Source organism: Homo sapiens, chromosome 10, assembly GCF_000001405.40.
Source record: "Homo sapiens chromosome 10, GRCh38.p14 Primary Assembly".
In the NCBI taxonomy this organism is placed as follows: domain Eukaryota; kingdom Metazoa; phylum Chordata; class Mammalia; order Primates; family Hominidae; genus Homo; species Homo sapiens.
Window position 1 is genome coordinate 57,362,984 of NC_000010.11, and position 14,038 is coordinate 57,377,021.

General features: G+C 34.5%; 1 long non-coding RNA gene across 1 annotated transcript in view; it reads right to left on the reverse strand.

Annotated features, from left to right (window-relative positions):
* LOC105378313 (uncharacterized) overlaps window positions 1-14,038 on the reverse strand; it is an 85,058-nt gene that overhangs the window by 40,743 nt on the left and 30,277 nt on the right. Inside the window, exon 2 of the long non-coding RNA XR_001747453.1 lies at window positions 12,994-13,123. This is a non-coding gene — a long non-coding RNA (uncharacterized LOC105378313). The remainder of the gene's footprint in view (window positions 1-12,993; window positions 13,124-14,038) is intronic.

A 14,038-nucleotide genomic window follows, 5' to 3' on the forward strand; every position in this document is an offset into this window, starting at 1 on the left:
TCAACAGACTTGTCTGCTGCTTCCTTTGTTCAGTCTAGCCTGTATACTCAACAGAACACATAAGGGTGTGGCTGGAACCTCATCTTGGGCTCTCTGATCTTCTCAGAGCTCAACAGCGGCAAGTCCATCGCTTTTGTTGGTCATGAAGGACATTGTCAACAACACTGTCTGGAATCTGCAAACCCCTGTGTATCAATAATTTCCAAAATAAACACCCCAAATAAAGGAGAATCACATATTGCCTGGTAATAATCTAGAGGATCTAAACACCTTATTTTCAGTGACTTTGTTTGTTTTGGATTATTCAAATCCTAGTAAAATGATTTAAATTCTCTTTGGTCATCTATTAATACCAACAATATTGATCAGGTGGGGTTCTGGGTGCCTAGTGACCATAAAAGACACTTAAAATGTTCAAGTAGTTTAATAATATCTTTCAGTTAAAGATATGACTTCAGATTAGTGGACTAAAAGGAGCTTATAAGACTTTTTCCCAGGCTTTGTCTCCTCCTGGCTAGATAAGTACTGCACACACATGTATGTGTGCTCACATACACACATGCACACACCCCTTTACATTGCAATTCTTCATTGAATAAATATCTACTGAGTATCTTTCATATGCCAGGTACAATCCTAGGTGCTAGGATGGAAAACAATTGAATAAGGAAAAGTCATTGCCACAAAGATTATAGTTGAGTTACTGCCTACTTCATTTTATAAGTTAATTAATTGAAAAAAATCATGATTCAACTTCATATATTAAATCAGATTTTCTAATCCAATTAAGCATCTCATTATAGAGCATATTTACTAATAACTTGAGCATGTTGTCATTATCTTTTAATAATAACACTATCATCTACCATTATTTAATATTTTGAAGGAATAAGATACTGTGCTAAGGGTTTTATATAAAATATTCATTAATTCAGCAAACATGTATTAGTATCTATACCTTACTGGAAACTAGTATAGGCTAGGGCTTCCCATGCATTTCAAATAAAAAAGCTGATGCTTTAACCCAATAGTGGTGATTAACTCCAACTTTCATATTCAAATGACTAATAGAGGAGGTTCTCTATACTCCTACCTCCTTTACATTTTTTAACACACCATGAAATAATAAAACACAAAGAAACAGCAACTCCCAGAAAGCTCTACTAAGAATACTCTCTATCTCTTTCTATTTCATAGAAATTCAGTTACTGAAGCAAAAACCCACAAAAATAAAAATTTTACTTCAGATCCCAGCTTCTTGTGACCCATTGCTTGCTGTAAAGTATACATTTATTTTGCTGTCTATTTTTTTCTTTAAAATAATTTCAAATTTACAGAAAAGTTGTAAGAACAGAATATTATTTTTTATTGAACCATTTCATAGAACATTGAAGATGTGTTAGGCCTTTATTCCTGAACACTCAATTTGTATTTTCTATAACATGGACATTATCTTTAAGGCCAATACAAGCATAAAAATCAGAAAATTATTAATGACATGTTATAATCATCTAAAGCACAGATTATCTGAGCAGAAGTTTCTAAATTTTTTTTTTAATAAAAACTGACCAGCTCAAAAGTACATCAATTATAAAAGGAATTCTTGGCATTTAATGATAAAGCACAAATGCAACAATAATTTGAAGAGTTGGAAGACAAACGCAAGCTACTTACTCGGAATATAGAACCAAACAGACATGTAAATCAGAAAAGCAAAGATTAGAAAATCAGAGTCAACTCAGGAAATACAACATTCAAAAAATCTTGATGAAGGAGGCTTTCAGGGACAGTGATGAAACCCTTCCAATGAGACATTCAGAGACATGGTCCTGCCAAAGCTTCACTCACTGTTGGGAAAAGAACAAGTCCCCCTAAGTAAATGTTAAAATGACCTTTGGAAATGAAACACAGGTATGCTTATACAAAACATTCTTACGTAGTCAAGTGACTCTTCCATCTTCCCCACATACAGTAGAGATACAGAGACGAGGGATGGGAGCAGGGGCAAATCACTCGGTCAATCTTTATTTTGACTACCTAAGATTCAAATTGTCCTGAGGTAATGAATCTTTTTCCTGTGGATTGTGGGAACAGAGCTGCCACTTGTAATACAGCCTTAGAAGTAGGCAGGCGACAGGTGGATTATTATCTCTCAGACCTGCTACTTTAAAATAATTATACAAAATTAAAATAAAGCAAACAAACACCCTCCCCTAATATCTATCATACCATGTTATACAAGCTATATTTTGGATTACAATAGACCCTTGGATAAATAATACTTGAATATTCCTTCCTCTTGCATGGCCCACATGTGGTCAACATGTGACTTGCATTCCTCACCCTGCCATTGAAGAGTGGACAGCTAATACCCCAGTAGTCCACCAGAAGAGGCTGTTTTTGCTTTCTCAAGGGTAAGTCATTAGTCTACAGATGCCCTTGACTGCCGTGAGCACATAACAAGCAAGCTTTTGAAGGTTCCCATTGCAGAACCCACCAATAGTATTGGAGTTAGAAGATAACTCCCTCAGTTCTTTCAGTTGGTGGGATTTTATCAGAGGGCTCTGGGAGAGATTTCTTGAAAACAATAAAATTGATGAATTATATAAAATTATTTGAACTATTAAGAGACACATGCAACTGGGAGGCACTGAATTAGTGTTAGGTCAAAAAAAAACCTAAGCAAGTGAAAATATGTCTTTAATAATGCTAGAGAAAACAAAATATTGAAAGAAATATAAAACAATCCTTGTAGAGTACATGACTGAGCTGTAAATGCTATCATTTAGTCATAATATAATAAACATGAATATTCATTAGATCAAAATTATGATACACTATTTCAAGACGATGAGAGCACAAAAGTGGAGATATGTGTGATAAGGGCTGGAAAATGAAAGCTAAATTCTCATCTTCCATAGTGGGAAGCCAATAAATAAAGCCTATTAATAAAAAAATCAAGACACTGTAGTATAACCATGTTATTTAGAGATATAGAGAGATCTTAAAAGAATCAGGAAATATAGTTGCAAGTGGTTGCATCTGTGCAACAGGAACTGGGCTGGGAAAGAACATAGGAAATGGCTGTTTTTGTAGCAAAACTAATAGAACCATTTGACACCTTAAAGTACGTACATATGTAAGTTGTTTTATTAAAATAAAAAGTAAATTGAAAAATACTATACTGCATATGTTGAAATCTAAATGGCCCTACACATTTTATTTTTTAATGTACATTTTACATTTATTTGAGGTTAAGTTTGCTTCCCTGAGATATGTAAGCTTGACAGCAGTCTAGTTGGAACTTTAAGAATACAAAACTGAAAATATTTACTTTCCTGCAAATGGAAAAAAAATTGAGCTACTGACACTATAGTAAAGTAGAATGTTTACTTACTGATTACTTGCTGATTACAGAAACTATAATCACCACAATGGTAGTAATTTTAGCCAAAAGGACAGAAATCTTATGTAAATAACTCAGAATTGTACACGTAACAAGCCATTTATGAAATACTGAAAAAATATACGCATAGAAAAATATTATGGAAAGTTCACTGTCACCATTTTACAGTTAGCAGGATTATGAATAACCCTGAGAGATGCTGCACATCACAGCTGTGTCTTGCAATGTTTCTTTCAAAATTTTAACATTTACACCAAAACTAAGAGTTATAAGATCATTCATCATCAGTGACCTTTAACAAATTTGTCTGTGATGATTTGAAAATTTTTGATTTTATTTCCTCATGGAAACTACATTTGGATATTTTAATTTCAAGTTACAAATGTATTAATGGCTCAAAAACATATGTTGATAAGCTCAGGTGAGCCTATTATTATACTATTTTATCACATATTTGTTAATGGTGCCTGATTTACTTGATGAATGAAACTGTAAGTCTTGACCCAAATGAGTACCAATTAACATTTGTAATATGTAACTGGAAAAGGGAACTGACAGATTCTTGAGTGCCAGCGGTCTCAATTTGTCTAGGCTAGATTTAGTCCTAATAGACAGAAACCACATAGGATAAATGACATTCTTTGACTACTTTAACCTAAGCTTTTATTCTGCCTTTAGATTTTACCAAACAGATGGAAGAGTAAGGCGAAACTAGTAAAAAAAAAAAAATCCTGCTCAAAAATGCAGGAAATAAAATAAGAAAAGCTAGCCAAAGGTCTAGAGCAAAACTTGCCTAGGTCACCTGTGAGATTCCAAATGCAGCATGCATTGGCATGGGAGAAACCTCACACACAAATGTAACTCCCATGTAGTCTCTAATCTTAACTCCCATAATCAGCAATGTCAAAACTTCCCTTTCAGATTCTGCATTTGTGATCCATGAACCCTACCAATCATGGGTAGTATATCACTTTCTACGGGTATAGAAGTAGAAGTAGGAAAGGCAAACAAAATAAGGTGTGAGACTCTTTGCCTATCGTTGCCTGCAGGTATCTAATTTTGGAAAAAAAAATGAGAATACACATTCCAAGATGTTTTTGAATGATAACAATTATGGTGCAAGCGGAACCCTGGAAACCCTGAATTGTAGACCTATGAGCCCTGGTAATTTGTCATGGGAAATAAACAAACAAATTAAGAAAGAATGAGATTAATTCGCTGACAGTGCTGTTTCCAAAGCATGATATTGCAAGGCTTGAGCATTTTGGGGAGGTGGGTGGGGACAGCAAGGGAAGACAGGGTCTCACTCTGTCACTCAGGCTAGAGTGCAGTGGTGCAATCACAACTCACTGCAGCCTCGATCTCCTGGGATCAAGTGATCCTCCTGCCTCAACCTCCCGAGCACCTGGGACTATAGGCACTAACCACCATGCCCAGGTAATTAAAAAAAAAAAAGAAATTGTAGAGACAGGATCTCACTGTGTTGCCCAGGGTGGTCTTGAACTCCTAGGCTCAGGTGATCCTTCCACCTGTTCCTCCCAAAGTGCTAGAATTAGAGGAATGAACCACTGTGCCAGCCAAACCTGAGCATTTTATTTCAAATGCAATTTATACAATTTAAGACAAGGAAAAAGAAAACACAGTTAAACTTCAACAGAATTCTTAGAGGATCACCAATCTACCGATCGTGAAGACAGATCTCACACTATGCTCCAATCCTTCTCTCCACTATTTGCTTTTGACACTCCTTATACTAGATACCTTCTTGGAAATATCCTTGGCATTCCCCCAGAGCCTGCAATACATGCCTAGGTTAAAGCAGATGCTAAATGCACACACATACACACAACACACAACATAGACACTCAGGAAGAAAGATCAAAATAGGCCTTTTCAGACATAGATATTAAATTATCATACAAAAGATACTTCTACCTAGAAATGAGAAGTCAAAGTATTTCATTTAAAATTACAATTCATACATATATCACCAATCAATGGTAAGTTCATTCTGCATATAGATTGCAGTAAGAGTCCTGCCTGTATTCACAATCTTTGCACTACAACTTCACAGTTCCTCCCATAGAGAGTTGCTATTCACCTGCCCTTTAATTCTGAGTTTAGCCATAAGACTTGCTTTGGCTAAAGGGATGTTACCAAATGTGATTAAGCAGAGGCTTGTACAATTGGGCTTGTTATTTTCTCCTCTCATTATTGTGAAAAATTAAGATCATATGCATATTAGTTTACTGAAAGATAAGAGATAGAAAGCCCTGTCCTTGCCCTAGCTGAAAACTGCCAACTACAACTACTACTGCCAACAACTTCTAGTTTCCACATGGAAACAAGAAGAACCAACCAATTAAGACTGACGTAAATCACCAACTCTCAATCAGATCTGCAAGCCAAGCAAACGCTTATTGTTTCAAGCCATTGAGATCTGGAGTGGTGTGTTATGCAGTGTTAAACATAACACATAGCAATCTCTCTTTTGAGGACATTCATAAGAATATCACCGAAAATGCATGGAACTAGTTAATTAATGGTTAAAAAAGTCATAATAAAAAATATCAGGTCGTAGAGTTTGAAAAATATCACACTGAAATTCATGTAACTTGCAAAGCCATAGTTAGAAGTTTAAATTGACAAGAAGCAAATAAATATAAAAATAGATTCTTACATAAATAAAGCGCATTGTATTTGTTACCTGAAATTTACTTCTCGTGGCAAGAGGGACCCTGTTTTTATGAAACTATCCGTTGGTATTGGAAATGTTTAGATAAAACGTACAGCCATGCTATGATAAATGTATTGCATTTCTCAAACTGTTTGCTATTAAATGTGAAGACATCATTGTAGCAAACTCTATTTCCCAGTAAAGTTGAGACACGGATTGATAACATTTGCAATACATCGTCATCAATTCAAGGAAAGTCTTTTGCTCCTTATCAATCCTTTCTTGTGTTCTTGTTGTACTACATCTTCCATTCTCTTCCAGAGCTATTCTACAACTTCACTGTCTATTCAAGCCCCCTTTCTGATATTAATCATTTCACTCACCGACTTATAAGGCACTATGCTATTATTCTAGTTTTCTATTTCTACTACAATATTAATCATTTATAAATAGAAAAATATTTTAAACATTTTCAAAAATTCAAATTTTTGTGTTAAAGTGATTTGGTAATATACTGCATCCCTAAAGCACATCCAGGATAATACTGAAAAGAAAAAGAAACAAAATCATAAAAGCAGAAGATATTTTTATGAAATGCAACCATTAAAATACAATTAAGGAAAAAGAATAGTTAAAATAAGTATCTAGAACAATTAAGAAAACAAATCAAAATTGTAAGGAAAAAGTACTTGGAAAAGGATGATAAAACTAAATGAAGTAAGGAAGACAGATCTAGAAAGTTCCACATGGGTCTAATCTGAATACAGAAGGCACCCACCTCCTAAAACACCTCAATAACAAAAATTAATGAACAAAAAATGAATAGTAAGTAGAAAATAATGTCTTTAAATAAGCTCTCCAAAATAAAATAACATATACCAACATTATCATAGTAATACTAATAAAATTGATGAAACTTAATGTTGAGGCAATCACACAAAACAAATGGCAGAAAGGTAATGAGGGAGAAATGTGCTAAACATGGCTACATTTGTTTTGTTTCAGGCTAAACAAGATAAATTTTCTAAATATCATTGCATTGTTAAATATTTCTGGTTCATTATTTAGGATAATTTAATAAACTGAAGGGTGTGTTTAGTAGTGTCAAATTTCATAAAAAGTGCTTATTCCAAAGGAAAATTATAAATTGATTTTTGATCACTAGAAAGGATATATATTATGAGTCTTTAAAATTGTGTCTTTATAAGGAAAACAAATGTAAAACAAATAAACAAAAAAAAAATATTACCAGGACTGGGGCACAAAATATATACCAAGAGGGGAAGGAAAAACAATGTGAGAGAGAGAAGAGGAAAAAATCTTAAAACAATGGCTCATTTATTGACAATTTGAGCTGTGTTCCTAACAAAACAATAAAAAATACTAAATGTAAAACAAATACACTTGCAAAGGAATAAAAAAGAAGCTTATTTTAGTGCTGCAGAAGTTTTTCTAATCAGTTTCTGCAAATCATAATCTTGAAATCTATTATTTATTTTTGTGAGCCCTTAGCATTAAGTTAATATAAAGAGTGCCTGAAAAATACACTTTCTAATTAATTTGAGGGGTTACTCATTGTCAATGAAATATTTTTGACCTGAAATTGACAATACCTAGATTCCAGTCCATTTCTTTTTAACTAACTCATCATGTTAAGTTACGCAAGTCACCAAAACTCAGGATCATTATCTTCTCATCATTAATACAAGATAGTTACAATATGTTGCCGTATGGTTCCATTTTGAGAGCTTGATACATTATTGCAAACACTGTGATATGTGATGTACAGCCAGTTCTCTGTATCCACGGTTCTGCATCATCAGATTTAGCCAATGGTGAACCAAAAGTATTTAAGAAAAACATAACAATACAAATAATACAAATAAAAATACAGTATAACAACTGTACACAATTGTAATTGTGTACACAGCATTTACATTGTAAATACACAGCATTTACATTGTATTAGTCATTATAAGTCCATTAGTGATGATTAAAAGTATAGGGAAGAAATGCATAGCTTATATGCAAATACTATGTCATTTCATATAAGGGACTTGAGCATCCACTGATTTTGGTATCCACAGGGATCCTGGCACCAATCCCCTGCACATAACAAGGGATAACTGTATATAATCTTGATTAAATCCTATCAACAGTATTATTAGGAGAATTTTTTATCTCTGTTTTAAAGATAGGGAAACTGAGGCCAAGAGACATTAAGTAGCCTGCACAAAGGCACACAAATGCATCTTAGTATTCCAGTTTGCCTCAGCTATTATGCAGTACTGCATCCAGGTGGTTGTAATAAAACAGCTAATTTCTTATGAAGCGTGAAAGAACTCGTGGCATGATTAGTTAGACATGTTAATTGCTCACAATATATAATTTCAGGTGAATTAAAAGTAGTTTATTTCCATTAGCCACTGCCTCCCACTTTTCTTATGTCACCATTAGGGATGCATTACCTTGGGATATCAGATACCATTAAAATGGGAATTGAAATATGGCAGAAAGGTATGAATCATTAAATACTAGCTCATAACAATCAGCCAAGGATAAGACACAAGATAATAATCAGTAGACAGGAGTAAAAATATGAACAAACTTCAGAATATTCTCTAAAGCAAATTCCATCTACTTCACACATTATTAACACTTGACTGATGGAGTACAGTAGTTACTCTTTTTCAGTATTTGTAAAAACAAATCTAGAATCTCAGGTCAGGAAAAGGATACAGAGTTGAAGCCACTTTCAGACCAGATAAAAATGTTCAGAACTTCTGGTAGACAGAGTTATAGAAACCCATCTGTCTCTAAAAAATTATGTAAGGAGAAAAGTTAGCAATTCAAAAATGAGAAAGAAAACCGAGACTGTTTTATTCTAGGAAAACTGAACAACACCAGCAGCTACTCAGCTGCCAGAGCTGTTTCATCTTTTCAAATAGAGGATCCTACAAGAATTGGATAGCAACAATGAGAGAATGAAGACAGCTCCTACTCAGCTCAGTCCTTTCCACTTGGCCCCATAATCCCCGACAACCAGTGTGAGTTTGTGTCTATAGATAAAAATCATTTTGCCATCTGAGATCAAAGAAAAAAATGAGTTCATTCTGAGAATGGAATGTGTCGAAAGATTATTCGTACTCTTGGCACTAAAGATTAGTATCGTATGCTCTAACACTTCTTTCACAAAGGACGAATGAACGCAGAGATCATATGGAATTAGAAGAACCGGCATTCACTTGTAGGAAAAATGTTAATCAATGATCATAATAATGCTTATTAAGGAAAATAATTAATTTGTCTGGAGATTTTCAATTTCTGTCATTGTGCTACTTTATGAAGACTATCTTATTTAATATTCTCAACAACCTCATGAAGTAGACACTGCATTTTACACATGAAGAAGCTGAGAATAAGAGAAATTATGTGACATGACTAAAACAATTCAGATATGAAACAGTGAACCATGATTTGAAATTGTCTGAGTGCAAAGCTTTTGTTATTAATTACTAATTATGTAAACATTTTGAGTTTTATCAAGTTTTTTTGGATACGGCTCATACTATCATTTTCTAGATAGCATTTGTAAACAAATACTCTCTCATTCTCTCAAAGAATATACATAAAATATATAGAAATGAATGTATCTATGTATCATCTAGAAATTAATATAAACCTGGGGTCCTCAAAATAAAAAAATGATTATAATGAAAAAACTATATGAGTTTTTTTCTATATGAGTTTACAACTCATAAAAACTTATTATTACATGTTTAAACAGAATCTAGTTTGAGAAACTAAGAAGGATAAGTATGAAAAGCCCCTATCAGAGAAACATGAATTCTGCTAAAACTGAAGCAAGAACAAAAACAAAACTTATGAGGAAGCTTGGGTGGAAGAATGGTGAAATCATTGCTGCTTCATATAAAGTTTATAGAGGCAATGCCCCAAAGAAACCAGCAGTTTAAAAATTAGTGACTAATTTTAAGAACTGATGAGATGATGTTGAAGATGAAGCCCACAGTGATAGACCATTCACATCAATTTGTGAGGAAAAAATTAACCTGGTTCATGCCCTAATTGAAGAGAACCAACAACTAACAGCAGAAACAATAGCTAACACCATAGATAGCTCAACTAGTTCAGCTTAACAATTCTGACTAAAAAATTAAACTTGAGCAAGCTTTTCACAGAATGGGTGCTAAAACCACTGCACCTAGATTAGTTACAGACAAGAGCAGAGCTTTTGATGTAAATGTTTAAAAAATGGAATCAAGATCTTAAAGCATTTCTTCAACACCCGTAACAGGAGGCGAAACATGGCTTTACCAGTGTGATCCTGAAGACAAAACACAATGAAAGCAATGGGTACCAAAAGTTAGACATGGTCCACTTAAAACAAAAGAGGACCAGTCAAGAGCAAAGGTAATGGCAAGAGTTTTTTGGGGGCACTCAAGGCATTTTGCTTATTGACTTCCTGGAGGGCCAGAGAACAATAGTATCTGCTTATCACGAGAGTGTTTTGAGAAAGCTAGCCAAAGTTTTATCAGAAAGACACCCAGAAAAGCTTTACCAGAGAGTCCTTCTCCACCATGACAATGCTCTTGCTACTGCTCATTACTATTACCAAACAAGGACAACTTTGTAAGAGTTTTGATGGACAATCATTAGGCATCAACCTTACCGTTCTGGTTTGGATCCTCTGACTTCTTTTTGTTTCCTAATCTTAAACAATCTGTAAAGGGCACCCATTTCTCTCTAGTAAATAATGTAAAAAAATTTCATTGAGATGGTTAAATTCCTAGGACCATCAGCTCTTTAGGGATAAATGAAATGGCTTGTATCATCACTTACAAAAGTCTTGAATGTGATAGAGTTTGTTGAGAAATAAAGTATATATTTTTTGTTTTTATCTTTTAATTAAATTTTTCCATGAACTTTTTGAAGTCTCCTCATATGTGTGTATACATATACATATATCCCCTATAAATGAAGAAAATAACACCACAATGTCTTCATATACAAATATAATTTGTACCTAATTTTTTTATTATGAAAAAATGGAAAAGAAAGACAAAAAATAAAAACACTTGAGGTTAAATTCATTTTGAATGCCTACTTTTTAAAGTGCTATTTTCTATATAGGATTATGAAGCAAAAATTTCACTTTGTCCTGTGCTTACTAAGATTATTTATTAGGCCATGATGGATGCTGTCATACTCATAAAGTGTTCTTATAAAACACACAGCACAAGAAAACAGCTAAATAAAATGGTTCATAAAAACTATTTCCATACAGACAACTCAAAAAACAGAATTGCTGCTTGTAAAATTGTCTGAAAGTCTAAGCTGAGGACAGAGTCCAGATGGTAAAATGTATGGCCAATATGGTAACGCCTAATTATAAAGGAATAAAAACAAAAGGTCTCCAATAATTAGATGGTGATGCAGACTAGAGCATACACTGTGAGTAGGAGGGTTAAACAGAAGAGTTGCAGATCTAGATCTCAAGTAAGAAAAAGCAGACAGCAGCTATGGTGCAACTGAAAGTAACTTCACTGAAGATATGAGGGATACACCACCCCGGGCAAGTCTCTGTATTATCTCAATCTTAGTCTCTTCATCTGTGCAATGAAGACATCACCCTTTATCCTTTTGGGGTTATAGCTCTTCTGGAGAATCTAGTAGAAAACAATCCACATAGCCACAGAGATGTGATAGTTTATATAAAATCTGTAGTATTCCAGACCCTCATAAATGAGAATTCCTGAATTAAATGATCTTTATGGTCTTTCCCAGATTGCCCACCTTTTCACTTTTCTTTTTCTGACACAAAACAAAATTCACAGGCTAAGATTTGATCTATTTTTTATGCCTATTTTCAGAATCAGACACCATAACTAAATAATTAAATAACAAAACTGATAGTTTGACACCATATATGTATTTGTGTGTTTATGCATGTGATTTCAATGACTATTTTTTGCAAGTGAAATCCAAGTTATCTTGGGTTTTAGTTTACATATCACACTAACAACAACCCTCTAGTAATCAGTGACTATTTTTTTTTCCTTCAGGAGACTTCAGAGTGGCTAAATCTCTGACTGCAAATAGGCTTCATGCTTTCTAAACAATTCACGGGCAACTTAAAGCATTTCTTGATGAAAATGACAGTGGTAAGGGCAGCCAACATTGATCCCCTGCCAATGCTAGGAAAAACTCACTCTGGTTTCTCTACTCCTGGAACACTACAGGTTATATCATGCCTCTCTAGCTGTCTTAGTCTGTTTTCTGTTAACTGAATACCACAGATTGAGAATTTTTTAAAAATAGAGGTTTGTATAGCTAATGATTCTGGAGGGTGGAAAGTCCAAGATCATTGTGCCAGCATCTGCTGAGGGCTTTCCTGCTGTATCATGAACTGGTGGGAGGCATCGAATGATGAAACAGAACAAGTGTGCTAACTCAGGTTTCTCTTCTTCTCCTTATAAAGCCGTTAATCCAATCATGGGAGCCCAACCCTGGTATCCTCATCTAATCCTAATTGCCTCCCAAAGGCCCACCTCCAATCATCACATTGACTTAGGGATTAAATTTCCAACACATGAAATTTGAAGGACATTTAAACCATAGTGCTAGCCTCTGCGAGTACAGTTTTTGGAACACGAAAACACATATACATACACACACACACATAGGCACATAGAAAGAGAAGAGAAGAGAGAGAGAAAGAGAGAGAGAGAAGGAAGGAGAGAGAGAGAGAGAGGTGTCCTGTGCTTCTTTAGAGGGCCATACTTAGGCCCTGCTTTGGCCATGTCTGTCCTTAGGGATAAACCTGGAGCTTGTGCTGTCTTCCTTGCCTAATCCAGATATCCAGAACCAAAAATGCCCCTGCAAAACTGACCTTAAGTCCGTCTTCAGTGTCTGCTTGAGCCTCTTCCCAGGCCTGAAGGTTGGCCAAGAGTTGGCTATTTCCTTTAAGTGTGGATGGAGATTGAGCAGAGGCTGGAGTGTCCACCATGTGTAGAAGGTCACTGCAGCACAGAACAAAGGTTAAAGTGAGAAGAGAAAAGCAGGATTCTCTGCAGGCTAGCTGTGGAGGCCTGATCAGCCCAACGTGTCCCTGTTTCAAAAAAATGCTATGTCTGAGAATTATAAAGGTGAGCCTGGATATTAACATGGTTAATATTAACATGGTAAAGGTATAAGTGTGAAAATAATAGATTAGAATATATTTTTTAATTAGTTTACCTGCTTGGCATATAATGTTTAAATACATACAACTGTTATATGTACACCTCCATTTGTACCCTTGCCCCAGGACCACAATATTGCAGGTAAATTTATCCGTTGCTCTTCTCCAAGATCATCCCTTAACACCCAATTTGAAGACAAAGTCACCTGATTTAATCTCCTCAGAAGTAAAGTTGTCTGCTTCTCCCTCTACTACTTTCCACGCTCCCTGTATAGTACATACTCTATGTAACAAGTCCTATTAATGCAACCCTTGTTTGCAAATCAAGTTTACTTCTCAAATTACTTTTTGTGGTATGAGTTTTTAAAGCCTCATTTAGAAGTAAAGACTAGACATAAATGAGGAACTAAGTGGTTCTTTTTATAATGTCAATCTTTTGGAAAACTAAAACATAGTTTTTCCAGATTGAGAACATGTTGGTAACATTACTAGGAAAAGGTAGGAATATTAAAAAATTAAGTCAGTCGTCATTTTCTTTACTACCTTATCTTCCTCACCACTCCAAAAAACATAAATATTATATGGCAGAAAACCAAATAAATGATTTAGAATAAGAGATGTGTTCGCAAAAATTTGCTATGAATTATAATACAACGTATGTTATTTCACTATATAGGAAAAATGCCTTTTTAGAAAAATGGCTCTGAAGTTTTGAAAAAGTTTTTTCTAAACATGAAAGTACGATGACATTATT